Here is a 24,856-nt window from a genome sequence, read left to right as displayed (position 1 = left end):
CTTTGAGATCTGGGGCAGAAGACAATTCAAGGATACCACACAATTAAAGGAGTTACTTTGCTTATCCTCGACTGGTAAAAAGAGGGGATGTATCACTAAGGAGAAAAGACCTGAATTTAAGGACAGACTCTGCCACCTAAACACATTGTAAGCCTGAACAATGTCATCGAGCCTCAGTTTTCTCATCTGTCAAATGTAAATGATAATCTCATTTCCCTAAATCTCAGAATTGATAATTTCATTAGAGTTACGATTAGTGAAAAAAAAAAATTGAACAATACAATGTACCTTATAGCTCAAAGGAATTATTCTGAAGGAAAAAAGCAAGACTGAGCAAATCTCAGAAGCTTGGGACCTCTGAGATGTTCTTGGCTTATACTGGATCCTTGGATCTGTCCTAAAACCAACTCAAACCATGTTTTGGCTCGAAATGCCTCTGGCTTCATAATTGCCATTTAGATGGAGATTATCATAGGGAATTCTAAGCTAAGCCAAAACTCAATGTGATCTGGCTTTGTGCTTCTAAAACCCCTCCCTCTTCTTCCTCCTTAATTCCCAATTACCATCAAGATCTGCACTTGGATCCCTGACGCTGGGTCAGGATGGGTCTGGTCCTTGAGGGCGGAGGTGGGGTAACTGGCCTGTTGCTTTCTTAGAGTTCACTAGACATTGCACAGGAATATTTGTCATACTAACAGCCCTGGAACGTGAGTTGAAAATCCTCAACTTGTTGCAAAATAAAAGTATGTGAGAAACTCCAAGAGCTTTAAGCAAACACAATAAATGCCAGCAATGCATGATGTCCCTGATTACGCCACAGGGCCAGAGAATTATTAATGTGACAGCACACGTCATAAATCTATGACTAAAACAGTGTGGCAGGAGGCCCTTTAGAGATGGAAACAGATTAGGCAGCATGATGATCAGAGTTGAATGAAGATTAAAATACTGTCTGAGAGACTTGATAAAGGAAATTATACAAACATTACGTTTTAATGCCCTTAAGAAAAGCCATAGTTCAGTGAAAATTGTGAGCTTAATAGATTTGGTCAGCAAGAGCTGGACTTTGCCTAATTTAGTCTTAATCCTCAGTGTGAGAACAATGTCTTGCATATATTAGGTACTCAATAAATATTTAATAAATAATAAGTTATTACATTGATTTTGTGGCCAGCCAATGAAATTATCTCTTTAAAAAGTGAAGAGTAATTTTACATAGCTCATGTTTTTCAAACTCAGCTAAATTATATGCATGTCTGAATTATTCAGATGTTGCAACTCTAGAAAGGAATTTAATCTATTCTCAAAATATTTATGAAATGAAAAGGAGCAAAAAAATTCTGTTATTTGACCCTTATTAATGGCTTCATGAAAGAAAGTCTGCCTTTGGTAATTTTATCACTGATATTGTTCTGAAACAGTGGTCAGTAAGCTATGGCCCATAGGCCACTTTCAGCTCACTGCCTGTTGTTTTGGTAAATACTGCTTTATTGGAACACAGTTATGCTCATTTGTTGATGTATTGTCTATGGCTACTTTTATTCTACAACAGCAGAGTTGAGTAGTTGGGGACAGAGACTGTTTGGCTTGCAATGCCTAAAATATTTACTCTTTGGTCCATTACAGAAAAAGTTAGCCAACCGCTTGTGTAAAAATATTTCTTATTTTATCACGTCATCAATGAACATTAAATATAATGAATTAGACTGCTTCTTGAACCCCTATAAGAAATGGCACTTTTACCTGGCCTTGATCGATTGTTGGAATCAACTGGCCTCACCTTATTTGAGTCATTGTGTAGTGTGCAACCCAATGAAGCTAAAAAGTTACAGTGATTTAAATTTCAGGTTTCCACAATTCAAATAAAGTCATGGATACATTTATTGATGGGTTCTAGTTATGTTTGTGGTATAGCTCTAAAATGTTAGTGTTGATGGCGTGGACTCTAAATAGAGATAGTGCATAAACATATTAGTTTTTTTTTTGTTTGTTTGTTTTTTCTCTTTTTTCCAATGCCCTGGGTAAAGTAAATACTCCTAAAGAGTAAGGGGATTTTTTTTTTTTTTTTTGAGACAGAGTCTCACTCTGTCACCCAGGCTGGAGTGCAGTGGCACAATCTTGGCTCACTGCAACCTCTGCCTCCCAAGTTCAAGTGATTCTGCTGCCTCAGCCTCCTGAGTAGCTGAGATTACAGGCTACAGGCACCCGCCACCATGCCTAGCTAATTTTTGTATTTTTTAGTAGAAACGGAGTTTCACTATGTTAGCCAGGATGGTCTCGATCTCCTGACCTTGTGATCCACCCGCCTCGGCCTCCCAAAGTGCTGGGATTACAGGCGTGAGCCACCGCACCCGGACCAGGATTTTTTTTTTTTTTTTAAAGCATAAGCCCGCAAGGACAGGGTAAATGATAAAGTCAACAGAAACAACAATGTTCTGAAAGCTGAAAAGCACGTAGATAAGTTGTAAATGATGTGGCCGACCTGAAAAAAAAAATAATTTAAGCCAACAGTCTGGAAAGATGAGTTCCCAAAAGGCTCAGAAGTGGGTGTCCCAAGCACCTCTAGAAATGGGAGGGATGAGAGGGGTGCTAAAATGAGGTTCATTCCAAAAATCTGTATAAGAAACAGTTTGATCCCAAATCTTCTCCCACATTCCCTGTGGTGGAGTGACTGCTCCTTCCAACCCCAGGCAAAAGATGGGTTATTAGTCGTTTGGCTAAGGTAAAAGAGAGAGCATCCTGAATGGGGGATGCCTGACATCCATGAGGGCAGGGTGCTGAACTAACAAGAGGATTAAGTGAACGCGTACATACTAGGTGCAACCACAATTCAGGCAGTTGGATCTGTACTGGAAAAGTATTTCTCTAGGGGGAATCTTACCAGCCTAAGAGAAAAGACCTAAAAAGGACTGAAATTAGCTGGGGGAGGGACTATCAAATGGAACAGCCCAAAGAGGTCATCAAGCCCCATTCCTGGGCTCAGACCTCAGATCAGCTCCTTTGTCCCTTTCTTTTAAGTATGAGCAAGCAAGCATGAATTCCCAGACCTCCAGGGAAAATTTCTAACATGAAAGACAGAGAGTAAAACACACAGAAAAAGGCAATTTGGAGGAAACAGAAGAAAACTTCAAATCATTAATAGCCAGGGGATGAGGGAAGAAGGTGAGACAGTGCAACTAATAAATAAAATGAAGGTGTTATTAAAAAAGAAAATGTCAGAGGACATAATTGAGCCCTAGGAAACTAAAACTATTATAATAAATTGAAAATTCAATAGAACAAAAAAGGAAGACAGAGTTGAAGAAATTTCCTATGAAGTAGAATAAATAAGAAATTAAAAGTGAAAAGATAAGAAGGTCTAACATCAGAATAACTGAAGTTACAGGAAATGAGAAGAGACACAATAGGAGATGTAATCAACAATTTAAAAATTCAAGAGAATTTCGAAGCACATGAGTTGGCAAGTGAAAAGGCTCTCTGAGTCCCTAGTCCAAAAGGTGAAACTATGCCTATACCAAGGCACAAAATGATGAAATTTCAGGACACGGGAGACTAAGAGATAATGTATAAGTTTCCAGAGTAAAGAAAAATTATGATAACTTCAAACAAAGGGCCAGGAATCCGAATGAAATTAGTTTTCTCAATAGCAACACCAAAAGCTAGCAGGCTAGAGCAATGCTGCTAAACTTCTGAAGGAAAATAATTTCTGGCCTACTATTTGGCACCCAAACTATCAATAAAATTGGAGGGCTGAAAAATAAATTTTCAGACATTAAAGTTCTTAGAAAATCTCCCGATCTCCCATGCAGTCTTCTTTAGGAGGCTACTGGAGGACGGTCTTCAAAAAAGGGTGCTAAAACGAAAAGGAAGACATCACTCAAACAAATCCCAATATCCTGTGATTTTCCTTGTCTCTCTCTTTTTTTTTATTGCCACGAGAAAACATCAGGTCCTCATTGCCTCTAGTCTAGAGCTAGTTTCTTAAGCTATAATGTGCATACTATCATTCCAGATCTTGTTAAATTGCAGATTCAGATTTAGCAGGTCTGGAGAATCTGAGAGTCTGCACTTCTGACCAGCTCCCAGTTGCTGTTGCTGATCTGCAGCCCCTACTTTAAATTGCAAGGAGGCTTCTGGACTACTGGAACAGCCTAACTGGTCTCTTCTCCAGCTGTGCCACTCTTTCACCTTCCTTTTCTCCAGTTCTTGGAACAATTTTCCTAGGACAAAGCTTTGATTGTGGTTTGACATTTCATCTCATATTCTGCATCAAAAAGAAGTAACTGCCTTAGTTACTCTTTTCCACCACACTAACCTTTGTTTCAACAGTGTGTAGCCTAAAGCTTATCAATATGAGTTTTAAAAATGCTAGTAACATCTTCATGTTCAAGGTATCTAATTGATTCTTTTATATCCACTGGTGTTTGTTTAATTTCTGCATGTTTTTATTTCCAAATTCTTATTCTTTTAAAAATGTCATTTCAAAAATTATTTGAATTGCGTCTAGAGTGAATTCTTCTTCCATTGTTACATTTGTGTGTTGTCTTTCTTAATATTATATATCTTCCATTGTTTTTGAATTTTGGTTTATAAACCAATCTTGAGAGCTCTCTCTCTCTCGCTCTCACTCTCACTCTCTCCTCTCCCCGTGTGTGTGTGTGTGTATGTGTGTGTGTGTGTGTGTGTGTGTGTGTGTGTGCTTATATCCCCCAGACTAGCAGTGATAGTGGAAAATTGCAAATTATGTTGCTTGGCTCAGTTCTGTTAGCAAAGTTATATCCTCAGACTGTTGGCAAAAAATTCTTTCAATGTCTATTCACAAGTAGGGGAGATGGTTAAGCAATAAGGCTTGGTTATCTATTGCTATGTAACAAATCACCCAAAAACTTAATGTTTTGAGACAATAACGATTTATTATTTCTCATAATTCTGTGGGTTAGTTAGGATCAGCTAAGTGGTTCTTTCCACATAGTATAGGCTGAAGTCACTCCAGTGGTTATATTAAATTGGGAACTCACTTACTGCTGGAATGCCCAAGATGACCTCTCATTCTTCAGGGCTTCTCTCCATGTGGCTTGCCATTATCCAATATCTTGTCTGAGCTTCACAGCATGGTCATTGGCTTTCAAGAGGAAAGGTTCCAACAAGATGCATCCCAGTAAATAAACACTTATTAAGCATCTGTGGCATCTCATTTGGCCATTCCAGTCACATGCTCAAACCCAGAGCCAATGTGGGAGAGGATTAGACAAGGCTGCCAATATGGAATACTGGTTTATTGAAGGTCACCGTTGTAACAGTCTCTCACAAAACTGGTTCCTGTATCAAGCCACACATGGAACCCTGTTAGTCTATTATTCTACAGGGGCTGAACCCTGGTTCACATCTTCCTGCTGCCACATACAGAATCCAGGACCTAGGTGGCTTTGTTCCTGATCACCATTTTGCGTATTGGTTCTGTTTCTGATACACGGAAATGTTTATCTTCTTGTTTAAATCACAGGTAAAACATTAAATTTTCTCATTTATATTGTATCACTTATTGTTATATTTGAAGCAGAATCAGGAGTTAGGAGTCTCAAAATACTAATTGAAAATGTGATCTTGGCTGGAAGTCCGCCTCAACATCAAGCCCATTTTCCTTAGTAATATCTTCTACCAGTTTGCTCTAACCTTCATTGATAATGCCACTCTTCTTCTGTCTGCCCACTTTCCCTTCTCTTTTCCTTTGTGATTACAAAGCAGTGTTTGCTGGACAGCACCTGTCTGTACCTCATTCATGTTGTTCTTGGAATTACCCTGTTCCCAAGAGTTGCATGACACCATCTACTTATTCTTCTAGCTAAATGCTGGCAGCTAGAAATACTCTTCCCCTTTGAACTCCCAATATTTTTCTTATATTTCTCTTATGGCATTTATCACTTCCTGCTTTTTATCGTAGATATTTACATATGCCTTAACTCTGTATTGTTTCCTTGCAAGTAAAGCTCATGCCAGGTTTTCTCTGCATCGTGCTTTGTACACAGATAGTAGGCTCTCAAGACATGTTTGTTGCCTTCGCACTCCAAGATTATCCCAAAGAGCTAATTTACATATGAAGTTGCAAAAACTGAATTTCAAGGGAAGATGATATCTACATTTATTTTACATCTTCATCATCTCAGGTCGTTTAATACTAAAACTGGTACCAATTGCCCTCATATTTTATTAAGTGCAATCAGAATATAATGCATGTAAGTATCTTAGTCTAATTTTAGTGGTTCCGGAGAAAATTCTCTCAAGACATACCTTGAGACCATACATTAAGGCAGGACACCATAATTAGAATCATCTCCAGATTTATATCTTAATCTTGCTACTACAAATTTCTTTTGACTTTTTAGAATATAGCCTTAAATGGAGACCTTTACTTAACTGACTATAAATGAAGTCATGTACCCAGGTGAGATTATGAACCCTTGGGAGTCGGAATCATGATTTATTTATCTTTTAATGCTCAGTGCCTAGGACAGAAGCTGGAGCTTTAAATAAATGTTCAATGTTTTCAGACTTTGTTGGAACAGCCTGCAGGCTCCTCAACGCCCTCCCCCACAGAGACTCAGCAACAGTGTGCCTCTATTAATATCTATTTATAAAGGTCAGCCTATTCTATATTTGAAACACAAAGAACCTTTTAAGAAAGGTGGATTTCTTTTGACTATTGATAACATGTACAGGAAAAGCTAGAAAAAATAAAAAGCTGTTGAAACACAGGGACTATGCTTAATATTTCTTGTATTCCCCACAAGGCCTTTTACAGAGCAGACATCCAGTAAATGTTTGATGATAAAAATAAGAAATATTTGTTATATTTTGAAAAAAGATTCATGGTGGAATTTCAAACGTGTACTGTGATCAGAACTATGGCAGGGGCAAACCAGGGGCTCAATAAGTGAGGCTTAACCCTCATTTATACCTTCCAGGATTTCTACCCCCACTCTTTGTCTTAAAACCTATTACAAAAATGGAAAGGAGGCCAAATGCTGTACCTATCTGGTAATGTCGCTGTTATCTGTGAAACCAACTACAAATTATAAAGCTTAATTAAGTGTCCTTGAGTCTTCATCACTGTAATTCTCCGATGCTTCATCAATATTAACACAGGGCAAAGTATCGATTGCTACTCTAGTCTTACTCATCAACTCATTAATTCGCTTCAAATCTCACAACTAAAATGCTCTTTCAATGATGTTATTGCACTGTAATTTGTATAAGGTACACTCCACGAAATACTGTCAATACATTTTATTGTGAGCATCTAATATGTGTCAGGGAGTGTGCTGACATTGGGTAAAGAAATTCATGTATTAAACTAAAACTTCCTCAACATCCATTACCAAGAACAGATCCTGCCTCAGTTTACTATCTGGCAGGGAAGGCAGACATTTAACAAGCAAATACAATTTCCGTTTTCAGAAAGAAGTCCATGTGAGATCTCAAGAGACAAGTAATCAAGGATCAGGGTGAGGAGGGAGAATGCAATCAGGCAAACAACTTGAATATCATCTGATAAATGTTATACTTTGGCCAGCATGTGGCCAAAGTACTATTAAAATTAAAAAGTGAGAGTATTTCATTCTCTGGAGGCTTGGGGAAAGCATCAGAAAGGAGCAGACATTTTCAGGGATGAATAGGCTTACACTAGGCTTAATAAAATGGGTGCCAGTAACGGTGGCTGTGATGGTACTCAGAAAGGAATTTCTTCTCGAAAACGCACGTATGGCAGGGATGGGGGATTCCAAGTACCAGCTGTGACGCATGGATGACCGTCATACCACTCTCACTGATTCTTTAGCTTCCTAGTCAAGCACCATCGTAACTAGTTGAACCAGTCGAGTGGGAGTTGATATTTCAGATCAGACCTCGTATGTTTCCCTCAGAGTGTAGAATTGCCATATAAATAACAGGATGTCTAGTTAAATTTACATGTCCGATAAAAAACGAATGTGTAGTGAAGTCCCCAATATTTGGTACATGCTTGTATTAAACATCATTTGTGCTTTATCTGAAATTAAAACTTCATAGTTTCATCTGTTTTGACTTTTTGTGTATTTTTATTTATTTATCTGGCAAACGTCCCAGAGCGGTAAGAACCGGCACGGTTTTGCCGTGGCACAGCTGATTACAAACAAAAAGTCTCTCCAATCAGAAGCAAGCGCGCAGAGAACTGGCGTCCGGAATAGAGACGCTGTAACCAGGAAACCAGGGTGAGCACCCACCCTACCGTCGGCCGCTTCTAGGAGACGGGCGCAGGCGCGCGCTGACGTTACATCTCGCGCTTAAGGGTGGGGACGACAGAGCGTCTCTCTCGGACGTGACCTCAGCGCCTCTTTGTGATTGGCTGCCTCGGGGGCGCGGCCCTTGGGCGCGGACGCCCTAGATTGGTGCTGCGGAACAGCAGGGAGGGACTCCGGCTGCAGCCGCGGGAGGTCCGGACACTGGCGGCCATGGAACTCACCGGTGAGTGCGCGTCGCGCCGCCCCTCTCCAGCGCTCTGGGCCGCTTTCGGATGGGGCTGTTCTGCGCGCGTGGGATCGTGGCGGGTGGTGGAGGGGGTGAAACCGACCCGGTTCGAAGCCCGGAAGTTGGGTCGGAGGGTCTCCAGAGTAGGTTGGGGCTGAGGGTGCGTTTAGGGCGGACGCGCTGGGTTCCTTGGCTCAGGCGGGTGGGTCGAGGGACTGGGGTCTCCGGAACCCCGGGCCTGAGACCAACGTCCACTCTTTGGTTGTTTTCTTTCTCTCTTTGGGCCTGGCCATCCCCGCCATGAACCCAGCGGGGTCGCTGTCTGAGCAGGGGTATCCCCTCCTTGGCCCGAGCGTTTCCCCAGCGACCTCTCAGGGAATCAGGGAATGAAGCTCAGACAGTGCCCAGGAATTGTCGGTGGAAGTACCATTCTCTTGACCCACAACTCCTGCCAGGTCTCCCTAAGGTTCTTCAGGAACCTCTACTGCTAATGATTGCCCAGGGCTCGTTGGTCGTGGTCGAGAATTTTACGGTAATGTCTTTGCCACTTTAAGTGGCTGGGTGGGAACCTTGGACAAATCACTCAACTTGTCTGGGTTCTCATTTGTAAAACGAGAGAGGTATTCACTAGAGCTCCAAGCCTCATTTCGGCTTTAAGAGCTAAGATTCTGCGATTGTGCAGCATAATGAACTTTTATGTCAAAGATGTTTGGACTGAAAACCTGGCGGAAGTGGGCAGACTCCTCACAGAACGTTGCAGGCTAATGACAACATTTTAAATGATATCATTTGGTTCATTACTCACTGTTTTTGCTATCGTTCATCTTTTAAAACTGGTAGAACTGGAAGTTCGGGTTTAGGTGACCACAGTAAGAAAATGTTAGTTAAGCCACCTAAAAGTACAAACTTGGGGAATTTCAATATTTGGTAATATTGAATCTTAATTAGTAAACTCAGTCAACAAACACTTCTGGGGTCTTTCCGAGAGTATATTTAAAATGTAGATGAGGCCGGGCACGGTGGCTCACACCTGTAATCCCAGCACTTTGGGAGGCCGAGGCTGGTGGATCACCTGAGGTCAGGGGTTCGAGACCAGCCTGGCCAACATGATGAAACCCCGTCTCTACTAAAAATACAAAAATTAGCTGGGCTTGTGGTGTGCGCCTGTAATTCCAGCTATTCAGGAGGCTGAAGTGGGAGAATCGCTTGAACTCGGGAGGCAGAGGCTGCAGTGAGACGAGATCGCTCCACTGCACACTAGCCTGGGCAACAGAGTGAGACTCCGTCTCAAAAAAAAAAAAAAAAAAAAAAAGTAGATGAATTTGTTGGAGAGACTAGACAGTTAAGCCTTTGCACATACAGTTAATTGGCATTTTCTGAGTTTGCAGGTGAAACCGGAAACTCAGAGCTTTAGGATGGCTTCTCATTGTATAGTTGTTTGTTTTCTGGAGCCTTGGAAATCTCATTTGTAAAGCTGAGGAAGATTTTGACTAGATATCCAAGATTCTTTTTAGCTTTAAGTGTCTAAGAATGTACAGTAGTACTAAATATTGAGTGGGCATTTCACATTAATAAAGCTTTAGGGGACCCCTGAGATAAACATTTCGCACTTTAAATTGAGAAAATGGTCCCAGATACAGCCCATCTCTAGTTTAGCCTTTATCTTTAGACACCGCACTGAAGGGAGGGACACTCATTGAGTTTGAAAGGCCTGCATAACTGATAGAAAAGTTTAAAAAGTGAAGGGAGCAGTTACATAATCACCCTCTTTGGTTTTTGTGTTTCTGTTTTTTGTTTTTGTTTTGTTTTGTTTTTTTGAGATGGAGTCTCGCTGTGTCACCCTGGCTGGAGTGCAGCGGCGCGATCTCGGCTCACTGCAACTTCGGACTCCCGGGTTCAAGCGGTTCTCCTGCCTCAGCCTCCCGAGTAGCTAGGACCACAGGCAGGCACCACCACGCCCAGCTAATTTTTGTATTTTTAATAGAGATGAGGTTTCTTCATGTTGGCCAGGCTGGTCTTGAACTCCTGACCTCAGGTGATCCACCCACCTCAGCCTCCCAAAGTGCTAGGATTACAGGCGTGAGCCACCGCACCCGGCCTAAATAATCACCCTCTTTGAATAAGGAAGGAGAACATGTGTGCAGCATGTGCTCTGGTGACATTTGAAAAAGGTGCTCTCAAAAAGATAGTTCGAGCTCCGGGTGTGTTTTAGTGTAAACCACAAAGGTAATGCTAGCAAAACTTTGAGAGTAATTGAATCAGTGGCTAAGCTATAGAGCAGGGGTTGGCAAACTTTAGTAGAGGACCAGATGGTAAATATTTTCAGCTCTGTGGGTCATATGGTCTCTGTTGTAGCTACTCTGCTCTTGTAGCACAAAAGTAGCCATTCACATAAATGAATGGGCACACCTATGAGCCTATAAAACTTTACAAAAACAGGCAGTGGACCAGTATAACCGAGTTTGGATCCTGGCCTGTTTTAGTTGTCTGTTATTTTTTACCAAACCACCCCAAGACGATGTAAAACAATAGCCATTTTGGTATGTTTCATGATACTGCAGTGAGCTAGGCTCAGCTGGGTGGTTCTCTTGGTCTTGCCAGTGGTCACTAGGAGGCTGCATTTAGCTGGTAAGTTGGCTGGATGGCTGGGCCTCTGGCTCTTTCCATGTAGTCTCAGAGCTCTTCCTTCTCCATATTATCTCTTCCCTTGTCCCTCTAGCACAGTAGATGGATTCCTTACACTTTGGCTTAGGATATCTAAGAGTGCACAAGTGAAAACCACCACACCTTGGAAATCACCACACCTTTTTTAGGCCGAGGCCAAAAATTTGCACATCACTTTCACTACCTTCTATGGGCTAAACCAGGTCCAAATGCAACGGGAAGGGACTATACTATAGAAGGGCATAAATACCAGAAGACATGACCGCTAATGAATCAGACTGCTACATTGTGTTACCTCTAAGCACTGAATAACTGAACAAATTTCTTAACCCCTTTAAGCTTTAGACTTTCCATTTATAAGATGGAGTTGATAACTCATGGAGTTTTGGTGAGGCTGCAATAAGATATAGAAGAGTCTTAGCATGTAGTAGCTGATGTATAGTGGCCATTTAATAAGTATTAATAGAAGCTGGTAAAGTATAAGAGTAAAGGGGAAATATATAAATGTGTGTATGTATGTGTGTATATATACTTAATTATTGGAAGAGACTGGTTTGTTAACGTGGTAAACCATGATATGCTGTGGTGTAACAAACTTACTATTTAAAGTTACATGTAGCAGTATTTTTAGGGCAAAATTAAGACATGGTAGAACCTAGTTTTGTTGTATGTAAATGCCAAGCAAGTAAATGTCAAATGAGTAAATTGATGATTTGCTTTATTTTTAATTCTGGGGAAAGCTAACAAATTTACATTAACATTAAAACAATATCTATATCTGGATTTGTAATATGGAATGTGTTTTGTTTCTGAGCTGAGATCCTGTTTTACTCTTTTTCAGGTAATAGAGGACACATCTCTTAACTGGGTTGCTCTAAGAACTGATGTCTAAACCGTCTCAGCATGGCCTGTAGAGGAGGAGCTGGGAATGGCCACCGTGCCTCAGCTACACTCTCTCGGGTTAGCCCTGGAAGTCTTTACACATGTAGAACCCGTACCCATAATATATGCATGGTATCTGACTTTTTCTACCCAAATATGGGAGGCGTGGAAAGCCACATTTACCAGCTCTCTCAGTGCCTGATTGAAAGAGGGCATAAGGTTATAATTGTCACCCATGCTTATGGAAATCGAAAAGGCATCCGTTACCTCACCAGTGGCCTCAAAGTCTATTACTTGCCTCTGAAAGTCATGTACAACCAGTCTACAGCCACGACCCTCTTTCACAGTCTGCCATTGCTCAGGTACATATTTGTTCGGGAGAGAGTCACGATAATCCATTCACATAGTTCTTTTTCTGCTATGGCCCATGATGCTCTCTTCCACGCCAAGACAATGGGGCTTCAGACAGTCTTCACGGACCATTCCCTTTTTGGATTTGCTGATGTCAGCTCGGTGCTTACAAACAAGCTTCTAACCGTGTCTCTTTGTGATACAAACCACATCATTTGTGTGTCTTATACTAGTAAGGAAAATACTGTACTAAGAGCAGCACTGAATCCTGAAATAGTGTCCGTCATTCCTAATGCTGTAGATCCTACTGACTTCACTCCAGACCCATTTAGAAGGCATGATAGTATAACTATTGTTGTTGTCAGCAGACTTGTTTACAGAAAAGGTAATGAAATGATAGCTATAATTGCATTGTAGACTTTTTTCCCTATAGAAAGCTGTTGAATACTTGTATATAATGATTGTTTGGCTTTTCATTTTGTTTTATGGTTTTATAATGCTATAAATTATAGCAAAGAAAGTTCTAATATTGGTTTATATATCCAAGAAGAGCGATTTTTCAGGATGGTGGTGAATGCTGTCCCCCAACCTTTGATGTTTTAATGGTTACTAAAAATAAGAATAACCTGATGCTGTTAAATTTCAGATCTTTTTAAAAATTAAAACAGCCCTGCACATGTGGTAAAGAAGTAGAGGGCAGGCCGTGTACGGTGGCTCACACCTGTAATCTCAGCACTTTGGGAGGCTGAGGCAGGCAGATCACGGGGTCAGGAGGTTGAGACCATCCTGGCTAACATGGTGAAACCCTGTCTCAACTAAAAATACAAAAAATTAGCTGGGCATGGTGGCAGGCTCCTGTAGTCCCAGCTACTCCGGAGGCTGAGGCAGGAGAATGGCATGAACCTGGGAGGCGGAGCTTGCAGTGAGCAGAGATCGTGCCACTGCACTCCAGCCTGGGCGACATAACGAGACTCCGTCTCTAAAGAAAAAAAAAAGAAGTAAAGGGCAGAGCTCACAGATGGCTTTTTTCTTCTGATTGCCAAAGTAATGTCTTTTCATTGCAGATATTTTGGAAACTAAGAAAAGCACAAAGATGAAAACTAAAATCAGCTGTAACTGTATTATTCAGAGATACCCTAATGAGTATTTTGATTTATAGCTTTCCTGTCTTTTTTATGTGTACGTACATATACTGAAAATCAGTGGGCTTGCTCTGCACGTTACTGTATTGTAGCTTGCTTGTTTCATTTCATCATGTATAAGACATTAGTAACATATTGGCAGGTAAGTGATGAAGAAAAGGGGATTAGATGTCCTGGGATCAGATGATGGGTCTGTCCTGCTGTGTGATCGAGGACAAGTAGCTTAACATCTCTAAGTCTCAGTTTTTTCATTTGTGTAATGTAAGCAACATTGGGAACCTCGCAAGGGTTCAGTGATAGTTCCTATAAACTATTAGCCTAGTTTGTAACTGTCCACTATTATCAAGGAGGTTTTTGGGTTTTTTTTTTTTGAGACGGAGTCTCGCACTGTCACCCCCCGGGCTGGAGTGCAGTGACGTGATCTCAGCTCACTGCAACCTCTGCCTCCCAGGTTCAAGCGATTCTCCTGCCTCAGCCTCCCAAGTAGCTGGGATTACAGGCGCCCACCACCAAGCCCAGCTAATTTTTTGTATTTTTAGTAGAGACAAGGTTTCACTATGTTGGCCAGGCTGGTCTCAAACTCCTGACCTCGTGATCCACCTGCCCCGGCCTCCCAAAATGCTGGGATTAACAGGCGTGAGCCACTGCACCTGGCCAAGGAGGCTGTTTTTTGTACCTCTACAGCACTTAATGGACACTGCAGTTGAATGTGTGGAGGCTTGTTTACTAAAAGTCTGACACAGTCTGGTTATAAAAAACAGTGTCTTCTGAGTGCTATTTGAAAACCTGTCCACTAATCAAAAGTGTCATTTATAGTAGGGAATCATTAAAAAAAATACATAAATACATACCCCCTTAAATAGTTAATATTTGAATTAAACTCAAAATATTAATACACACTGAGTTGCCCGTAGTTTGATGTAGGATTGCAGGCTTTGAGTGCTGGGCCACTGGTTTCAGCTGCATCTTGCACACCCTCCTTCATAAAACATAATCTACCATTGCTACTTTGAGTTTCTTTTGGGTGGGGTCAGAACTTAAAGGCGTATGAACTGATATGCTTCAGGAGTTTTAATTTGTTTTCAATTTTATACAGTAGTTTAGGACACCCCTCATCTGCCAAGAACTTTTTTCTGTGACATTCCTTTATTGGATTTTTCAAACTGTTCAGCTTAGTTTTTGTGGATACTCTTTTTGTCAGTTTATATGATAATTAAATTACTCAACACGACGATAACAAGTACAACTGACATCAAACAGATGTGTGAACAAACAATTGATTCTTGACAAGCACTGAATTCAGTGGTGTGCCAGTGTGCTAGGGAGTGGCCTAAAATCTAGATGTGGGCCTTGGTCAGTTTACGTTTGGAATGGAGAATCTTGATTGACCCAGCAGTCCATTTAAGTGGAGGTTGGCAAGGAAACTTGGCCTGAACTTCATTTTCTGGTTTGAAGGCAATGACATGCTTTCATTCTTTAATCAGGAACATGTGAACCGACTGGCATTCTGTATTCTGAATTCCTCCTGGGACATTAGTGATGTGTTTTTTTGTAACTTAGGAATTGTACCTAATTTATTTTTTAACCAAATAGCATATCTTCTTGAGATGGCTAGCTGAGAAAGAGTATGACACAAGTGTGATCAAGGATCAGCAAAATTAACTACCCATGCAAAGATTAAACCTGTTACCTTTACTTCCCTAATGTGGTATTTTAACTAGCTGAGCTAACCACCAATGGAGTGATGGTATGGCCTTTCCTGTACTCAATTCAGTAATTGAACAGTTATTTATCGAACCCTCTCCAGATGCCAGGCACCCTGCAGAAAGTAACATTCTGAAAAGGAACAGCCATGCCTGTAGCCCAAAAGTGAGTAGTTGTATTAATGGTCCATTCCTTATTAACAAATTAATTTCCTCAGGAGTTTATTGGACCAGATATCAAAGTCCCACTGGAATGTCTTAAGTGAGAGAGAGGATAAATCAAAGTTTTCCTTATCCAGGCTTTTTGGATGTCTTTTTCCTGAGCCTCCTCTTCCAAGCCTGTTTTGCTCTCAGTCAGGATTTACCAGCACTCTGCATGTGTAGGCACGCTCACCTGCTTCCTTCTGTAGTGGTAATGACAACCTACATTTGTATTCTGCAGTTGATAAAGCCTGTTCGTGGTACAATACCTCATTTGACCCTCCCAACAACTGTAGGGTAGATGTTATCTACATGAAATTGAGTCTCAGAGAGGGTAAGTAACTCACCCAGGTTACACAGTAAGTAACAGAGATGACACACGAGTTCAGCTTTTCTGGAGCTAAGTTCTCCTCTTCCTCCACCCATGCCCAGCCACTCATATCCTAGGTGTAGATCAGAAGGTTCTTAAAAATATTGTTAGACTGAGCTTTAAAAGCAGTTTGGATCAGAGATTTTCATTGTCTGTTTTGTGTTCACATGGCAGTCGAAAGTCTCTAGGTTCCATTGCATTATACCCTTCTTAGAGGCTCCAGAATAAATTTTTTTATAGTGGTGGGGAAAAGCCCTTATTCTTAGAATAAGAATATAGATCATTGGTAATAGTAATCAGTTCCATTTCTTATGAGATACTTGTCAGGATTAAATGACATAATGAATTTAAAGTATATTGCCTGTCATAGCAAGCACTCTGTTACTGTTAGCTATTATCATTTATGACTATTGCTCTATGTTGTTTTTTGTTTGTTTGAAGAATGGGCTCTTAACCTTGTACGAGAAAGAAAAGGGTGAGGAAGAAAATGGATTGAAGGAATTGTAGGAGACTAAATGTTAAAAGTCATTAAACTACCTTCTGGTTTATCTAGAAATCCAATTGAGTGATTTGTTAGTAGACATGAAACAAAGATAGCTATGATTTTAATGAGAAGCCTTCATATTCAGAAAAGCTGCGTGGGAATTTTTGATACATACAATAACAGTTTGAAAGTACTAGCAGAGTTTACTTAATGAATTCTACTTTGTATTATTTAATAAAAATGACCCTATAATATATATGTCATTTCTCCTATTTTATATCTGATATAAAATATCATCTATTTTATAACTGATCTGCCTATTTGGGGTGGAAGATTAAGAAATACAATTCTTATGTGTGTGTGCATTTTTAAAATTAATAAACTTAGCTCTAGGTGGATTATTTTATATTTACTTTTACTTTTTTTTTGTTTTTTTTTTTTTGAGACGGAGTCTCGCTCTGTCTCCCAGGCTGGAGTGCAGTGGCGCAATCTCGGCTCACTGCAAACTCCGCCTCCCGGGTTCACGCCATTCTCCTGCCTCAGCCTCCGGAGTAGCTGGGACTACAGGCGCCCGCCACTACGCCCGGCTAATTTTTTGTATTTTTAGTAGAGACGGGGTTTCACCATGTTAGCCAGGATGGTCTCAATTTCCTGACCTTGTGATCCGCCTGCCTTGGCCTCCCGAAATGCTGGGATTACTGGGATTACAGGCGTGAGCCACCGCGCCCTGCCTACTCTTACTTTTGAATATGTACGTTTTGTAATTGTTAATGAACTAGATTCTTAAATAGTGTTGACATTGTTGGGACTTTGGATAGCCACTCACTTTTTCAGACTAATAGGGCATAATTTACTTTATTGTTTTCTATTACCTGAGATTGTGTTTATATATTATAAGAAAATCATTTTGGAGAAAAAAGGAGCCAAGATGCATCCTTTTGTTCTATGGACTGTAGTGATCTAACAGTTGATGCCCTGCTGCCTTCATTTACCCTCATTCCAGGAAAGTGGGCTATAGCTGGTTTGAACTTAAATTTTGCGATAATGTAGTGTTCACTGCAAAATTCTCTGTACCAGCCACATTTTAAACAAAGTGGAGGCAGCAGTTAGATTTCGTTGCTTAGCCTTTTCCTGTGGCAGTAAGTGGGATCACAGACTGATAGAATTTTATAGCTGAAAGAGACTTTAGGTACATAGGTATCTTTATTTTATAGATCTTGAAACTTCCCCACGATCAATGGGCTTGCTGGTTAAAAAAGCTGGGAAAAGACCCAGATCTCCAATCAGCTGCCTGCTCTGGAGAAAACGAACTCAAACCTTAGCCACCTTAAATATACCTTTTTTAGAAGTACGCAATGTATAAACACAAGTGAATAACTTAAAGAATAGTCTGTTGAGATGAAACAGAATAGTCCATATTTTGGGTGTGTGGAAGGTAATGCATGTCAAGGTCTACGTCTTCAAGAATTGTAACTCTTGGGGGACCACTGCCAGTTTGCAAACAATTCCACTCCTGGAAAAGGTTTAAGAGAGTTTCTCTCCTTTATGGAGTGCATAGCTAATACTTTTCAAAATAAGTGGATTCTCAGTCGTTCTGGTGAATTTTTTTAAGTTTAAATATTAATATCTCCAACATTCAACTTTATATTTTCAGGGATCGATTTGCTTAGTGGTATAATACCTGAACTCTGTCAGAAATATCCAGATTTAAATTTCATAATTGGAGGAGAGGGACCAAAGAGAATCATTTTGGAAGAAGTTCGGGAAAGATACCAGCTGCATGACAGGTATTGATGAATTTCATGTTGTCTTGAGGGAGAAGATGTCAATTATCTCTATTTGGTTTTAACTGCATGCGTACCTTAGGTGTGTTGCTTCTCCTGCATGTAATTGATATACATATAATTGATATAAATCTAATGCAAGGACTGTTTTCAAAATTTTTATATAAATAGGAAACCTAGTTAATTCACTATTTTTTCCATTAGCCCAATATTATTTGACTTTGGGGGGCCATTGTTGGAGGCACCATGAAAGGCACAAAAAACAGCTGCTTTAACTGGAAGCGTTTGCAGATTTCCAGGCCATACTGTGTAGTGATTTAAGTAATAGGGCTCAAATCATGTAAATTGCTCTGCACATACAGATTTGGACAAGTCTCTTCCTCAGTAACTTACACAACACAAGGCTTGTACGTGTAAAGCATCAATTTTAATAAAAAGGCCATTTTCCTGTTTACAAATGGCACTTTAACATTAAATTATCAAAGTTTATTAATATTATTACATACAGACTAGTTTTGGAGAAGATAAAGTTTGATATGTGTAACAAAAGTTAGAAATAATGTTCGCTGTATGAGTTTTAACCCAACTGCTTTATAAGGCTGTTTCTATTAGATCAGTGTTTGGTGATACTAATCTTGAGGTGGAGAACATTAGCAGCAATAAGAATTTAAGTGTAATATAAATAGCAGACTTGGTTTATAAATTAAATTTCTTTTGTAGCATGAGTTTTCACTCCTTTCTTCCCCTCTCATTTAAAAAATCAGGGTGCGTCTTTTGGGAGCTTTAGAACACAAGGATGTTAGAAATGTCTTAGTTCAAGGACATATTTTTCTGAATACCTCCCTTACTGAAGCATTCTGCATGGCGATCGTGGAAGCAGCCAGTTGTGGTTTACAGGTAAAAAGCTTTGAGGGCATTCATGGTTGGGATTTCTGTGTATTTTGAAAAATAATGAGACACATTCCATAATAATGTTTTAACTGGTTTTGTTGATCTTCCTGAGGTATGATTATGGTGGAGTATGTGTTCTTTCTTTCTTTTTAAGGTTGTAAGTACCAGAGTTGGTGGAATTCCTGAGGTGCTTCCAGAAAACCTTATTATTTTATGTGAGCCTTCAGTAAAATCTTTGTGTGAAGGATTGGAAAAGGCTATTTTCCAACTGAAGTCAGGGACATTGCCAGCTCCAGAAAACATCCATAACATAGTAAAGACTTTCTACACCTGGAGGAATGTTGCAGAAAGAACTGAAAAGGTATGTCACATGCTGAGAAAAGATTGTGTCTGAACTCTTACTTGATGTTTCACGTACACATTTGCTTTTTCTTACATAGATGTTTACCATTTTTGTTCTATTGCTTAAGTTGATGAAATCTCTTCCAGGTGAAAAGAAACAGATTTTGGTACACACACCGGGCTAAGTGTCTGGTCAAATTATTGCGTTTGACATTTGAAAATAGCAGTAATACAGTCTAGCCCCCTCATTAAACTGGGCATAAAGAAGTTACAAAATTTTCTAAAAGTCACAATGAGTAGAGACAAGACGAGTATTAAATCTACTCTTAGATATTTTCTTGAAGCTGTTGATAATTCTAAAGCAAACATCTCTATTAGGAAATGCATGGTTTTGCTGATTGCAGCAACTTTATAACTTGTGAATATTTAATTCAGGCTACTTCCTAAACCTCTTGTAGCCCTTTTGCTAACTACTGTGATTTTCTCCAGGAAAAGGATTTTTGCATCTTTGGGCTGATTGAGAACATAGTAAGTTAGAATTCAAAATGTACGTGACAAACGTGGGAAAAATCACAAATAAAAAGCAGCAACAGAGAATTTCCAAAAGGACAGGTATAGGAAATAGATTAACACCCTTAGGTAGGAGATTACAGTTGTGGGAAATGCTTCCTGAATTTGAATTAGGGACTGCTTTCATTCTCAGTTTCATCCTTTACGTCCTTTTCATGATGTTCTCTGCCTCATGCCTCTTATTACCATGTAACAAGCTGAACAGAAACAACTCAGCTTCTTAGTATGTAGAAATTGTGAACCAGAAAGATAACCAGGTGGAACATGGAGAAGGTAGTAGTTTAGAGTAATGCTACCAACGTGATATTCAGTGGAGCAATGAGTTTTTAGCCTAGAGTAGATAGCAAGTTGGAGCTGAGGAGAATAGCTCTTTACTGTAAGGCTTTCTTACTTGGTTTGAATGATGAATTCCAGTATATAAGATGAACTCATATGTGAATGGAAGTTCTAAAAACTTATCTCTAAAAATTGTCTTATACATTTTCCATTGAAACATGAGATGTTTGCGACAGTCAAACATTTTTGACTGAAGCATTTTGAGACATTCTGACCTTCTACAAGTCTTGTACTATCTCTCCCATATGAAACATGGAAAGTTGGAGTCTAGTGCTTACCTGTTGGGAGTACATGTCAGAGTCCCCGGGCAGCCTTTTCAGACTCTCTCTACTCCATCTTGATGTCCCCCTGCCTCCCCAACCACTCCCTAGATTCCAGTGTTATCCTTTAGGAGCAGAGATAGAATTGGGGGTATAATTGGCAGGGATATTTGGTCAGACAGGTTATTTTGATGATACCATCCTGATCTCCACTCCCTTTGAGAACCATGGCACTGTTAAGTTGTGACTTGACCTTCTTCATTGACATCGTATAAACCCCAGAAGCCTGAGCCACTGTAGGTAATAAGTTAACAGGGAAAGAACTGTGGTGACGGTTTGTCAGCATATAGTAAAGGGGCTAATTGGGATTTTTTTGGTAACCACATTTTTCTTTTGGTTAAAGTAATAGTACAGCATCTGTATTTTTTTTAATTCTATGGTGATTTATAATACACTTTTAGAAAAAAGTAAATCCTTGCCTATAATGGATTGTCATCGCTAACATTCTCTTCATAATAGTAAATTGTTATTTTATCACTTAAAACTATAAGTAGATTAATTGACCTGAAATAAAGCTGGACAAAAAAGTCAGTTTGTAGTTACTCTTTTAACCCTATGACATTTTAATTCATTTCAACTCCTCCTTCTTAGTTTAACTGTGCTATTTAGGAAATCGATCATGAAATTAATTTGGAGTTCATGCTGTAAACATACTTCTTCAATTGCAATTCACCAGTCTCAGCATAATTCTCAACATAATTCTGATTAAAATGTTTGTATTCAGAATGTCCTCAGGGTAAAAGAGCTCGATGAAAACATGCCGTACCTTTCAAGGGCTGTTGACCTGTACAACATGCACTGCATGTTATAACTTCCTTGAGTTCAAAAGGAGACGGTTTAAAGGTCTAATATATGAGACTAAGCACAAGTAATACTCAAATTACAAAATATGAATGTTGGCCCATTTGATGTGTTCTGAACAAGTATGTTTAAAGATCTTCGTTTTTTGATATTTTAGAGCTTAGTACTTAGCAGTGTTTTAAAAAGCAAGCCACCTACTTGCTCAGCAAAAAACGTTATTTCATTTGCCAGCATTTGACCTATACTATCTACTGAAATTTCCCCCATCTCTTTATCTTCTTTTATTTGAAATCCATGAAATGCTTCTGCATGTCCTCACCATCCATGCTCAGCAACATGTACAGCCTCATGTGGCTGTTGAAAGAGGAGGCTCTGTGTTCCCAGAAGTATGCTAGATTGTAGCTCTCTGCTTGTGGTTGATGTCTGCCAGATGCCGGTGAGAGCATCTCAGCTTAGTCAAGGAATCTTCAAAGGCAAATCCTGCTTCAGTACTGCTGAAGTCACTGCTGAATTAAATATTGACCCTACAGTGGTGACCCCAAAAGCTGTTCAGACTTTGCGGGACTTTGGAATTCTAGTAGTTGGCTAAAATTGATGGTGACTCCCTAGGGGAGAGGAACTGTGGCTTATTCTTTGTATCACACAGCCTCTAGCCCGGTGTCTTGCCCAGAATAAGTACCCAATAAGTTTTGAATCAAATGGCAATAATTATCGTGATTAAGTTCATTAAGGATATCATTACTATGACAACAACAACAAAACACAAGCAACTTTTGTTTGTATTTGTTTATAAAATGTTCCTGCAGGATCGGGTCATTGTTTATCATGGGACAGGTGATGGGGTGATGGGTGAAAGTGCTCACACTTGGCTTCTCTCCCTCCAGGTATATGACCGGGTATCAGTGGAAGCTGTGTTGCCAATGGACAAACGACTGGACAGACTTATTTCTCACTGCGGCCCAGTAACAGGCTACATCTTTGCTTTGTTGGCAGTTTTCAACTTCCTCTTCCTCATTTTCTTGAGATGGATGACTCCAGATTCTATCATTGATGTTGCAATAGATGCCACTGGGCCACGGGGTGCCTGGACTAATAACTATTCTCACAGTAAAAGAGGGGGTGAGAATAATGAGATATCTGAAACCAGGTAGAAGGAAGCCTAGATTGTAAGATTTTAAACATTTGTAATAGTTCTATAAAGACTATGGAAAATAACCTTGCTTTTGGGGGGTTTTTGTTTTTTTAGAGTTAATTTAGTAAGTTATGCTACCTCTATATCATTCAATATTTTCTGTTGAGGAAAGATAAAAATGTATGCAATTCCTGAGTGTAGAAACTTCTTGCACTTATTTAAAATTTAGGAGAGAACATTTAAGCCACTCAGGTATGCAATTTTTCAGACTACTGAAATCCCTGTAGCAGAGATGTTTTAACATTATATTTTGAGAGCTTTGGGTGCTGAAGGGCCAAACGTTTTCTGGGCATTTTTTGGCCAGTTTTTAATGTAACACCATTAGACACTCACCAGATGTTTACAAGTTTTCTTTAGGGGAACTACAACAATTATATGAACTGTTTTATATCATGTTCATATACATTTATTAGGAATCTAAATCATGTCTTTGAACATTTATTAGGTTCACTCAGTAGGTGTTACATGTAATTAACAGGTTCCTTGAGTAAGATAGTCCATCAGTTACCAGCACATTTTGAACCCCTGCTCTGTGTAGAATGTTGAACTAGATGCTTCCCGCCATTAAGGACCAGGGGTGCATTCACTCTTTGTTTACCATTCAAATGGCTTACTTCATCATAATTGTGGTTGATATGAGATCAATATCCAACATGCCAAAAATGCTCATGCCAGTTAATGCCAGGAAAAAAATCACCGACACACTACTAGTACTTTGTTCCTGTTGTATGCATTCTCCTAGGTAGAGCCTCCATCTTCAGTTGTGTTTGTGAAGGTATTTTTTGCTTTTTAAATACTGGGGACCGATATCACTGTTGATAGTGCAGAGAAACCCTCCACATTTTTCAGTGCATAATTGAGTTTTCTATAAATGCCTTCGTGTTTTCTGAGCAGAATGTACGAGGTGTGCCATCCCAAAACCAGCTGCTACCCTGTCCTTTTAATGTAAGTCACTCCCCTTCACTGTGGCCTCGCTGATGTCTGATAAGTATTGTCAGTGTGCAAAAGGCTTTACTTCAGAATGGTTTATTTATAGCAAACTAAGTTGAAAATTTTAGAAACAGTCTTTGTGGGTGGATGTTATTAACTGTCATTGTTGTTGCCCAGAGCCATGGGTTTTTTAACCCCAAATTATCCACATGGTGTGTATTATGAATTCTTTGAACTCTTAAGGTTTTTGTGAGAAAAGGACTGTGAATTCAAAACAATAAGGCACTTGTGGGTGCACTACATAGATTCTGACAGTGTTGTGATTCTGTATAGGATTTTTAAAAATGACAACATTCACAAAATTTATTACTTTTTAAAAAATAACATGCCTATTAACTGGTTGCACTGATATAAAAGAAATATATTTGTGTTTTGTTTGTACTAAAATGCAAAAGCAAGAGTGCAATTTTTAAAATCTAGAAGTTAGGGGTTTTGTTGGAGAAAAATGGACTGATCTTTAAACTATTCAGTCTTACTGGGATTTTTATGCATAGAAACTCACATATAAACATGAAATAAACAGTGCCAGTATTCATAGGAAAGTGAGAAACTGTAATATTTGGCCATTATTCTATTCAACAGGTTTTAGAGGCATGCCACCATTTTTTCCTTATATTTTTGCTTAATTTTTTTAAATTGTCATTTAATTCTTAAACTGTCATTTATTTGAGATGGAAATAAGATCTAAAGTTAGTTGCCTTTGCCTGTAAAACATGTGATTTGCAAATTATTATTTTTCTTTTTTTTAACAAATGGAAGTAAATTTGTTTCACGTAAATCTTAATTTTCAACCTTTCTGGATACCTTAATTGTAACTGTCAGTTTGCACTGGTCGGTATATGGAAACACATTGCTCTACCCTGCTACTTAGTTGATTTTAAAGTGAATTTACAGTGATGAGAAATTTGTGAAAAATATATTGTATTTCTTTTGATGTTTCAAAAGGTTGCCTATGAAAAACTGATTTGTTAAAACATGCTACATGTCCAAAAATAAAGACCAGAATGACATTTTGATAATTTTCTGAGTTTGTCTTATTTTATGAACAGACTATTATTTACTAGTGGAACAGGCTATCCCTGCCCCCGACACATTCTTTTTCAGTGCAATTTGGATGTGTTGCTTGGTCTATTAGTAAAACAAGAAATACCCTTTGGGCGATGAATTACTCTGTCATTTTTTGTTTCTAGAATATCTTCTCTCTCTCACTCATGGAATAGCGAGTTCAATTGTGCCTTTGTTTCCTTACCCAAATAAGCCCTTGTTTTTCATTGCCCTAGCATTATCACGTGAGACAAGGAAAATATCTACAAACTATACTGTGTATGTGA

At 39.4% G+C, this 24,856-nt stretch overlaps 1 protein-coding gene across 9 annotated transcripts, besides 2 other annotated features; it reads left to right on the top strand.

The window, feature by feature from the left end:
• On the top strand, positions 8,446-24,549 carry PIGA (phosphatidylinositol glycan anchor biosynthesis class A). Of its 9 annotated transcripts, none has more exons than NR_199790.1 (7): positions 8,477-8,499; positions 12,008-12,126; positions 15,687-15,779; positions 17,954-18,086; positions 18,848-18,980; positions 19,129-19,335; positions 22,228-24,544. NR_199790.1 is itself a non-coding variant. In NM_001440789.1 (7 exons), exons 2-7 carry the CDS (start codon positions 12,070-12,072, stop codon positions 22,492-22,494), a joined length of 1,548 nt encoding a protein of 515 aa, NP_001427718.1. In that variant the 5' UTR covers positions 8,477-8,499; positions 12,008-12,069; the 3' UTR covers positions 22,495-24,544. The 9 variants fall into 9 exon arrangements, 5 of the variants coding, with proteins under 5 accessions (NP_065206.3, NP_001427718.1, NP_001427719.1 ...); NR_199789.1 differs by having other exon boundaries at positions 12,008-12,410; NM_001440789.1 differs by having other exon boundaries at positions 12,008-12,784.
• Positions 8,546-8,625: an enhancer, noted in NCBI's record as "active region_29447". NCBI's record gives its function as "activates an Ori minimal core promoter by ATAC-STARR-seq in GM12878 lymphoblastoid cells {active_cell/tissue: GM12878}" and the evidence as "EXISTENCE:reporter gene assay evidence [ECO:0000049][PMID:35858748]".
• Positions 8,676-8,725: an enhancer, noted in NCBI's record as "active region_29446". NCBI's record gives its function as "activates an Ori minimal core promoter by ATAC-STARR-seq in GM12878 lymphoblastoid cells {active_cell/tissue: GM12878}" and the evidence as "EXISTENCE:reporter gene assay evidence [ECO:0000049][PMID:35858748]".

This window comes from Homo sapiens, chromosome X (genome assembly GCF_000001405.40).
Source record: "Homo sapiens chromosome X, GRCh38.p14 Primary Assembly".
In the NCBI taxonomy this organism is placed as follows: Eukaryota; Metazoa; Chordata; class Mammalia; order Primates; family Hominidae; genus Homo; species Homo sapiens.
Note: the sequence above shows the minus strand (reverse complement) of the source record. Positions and strands in the feature narration are given on the sequence as shown.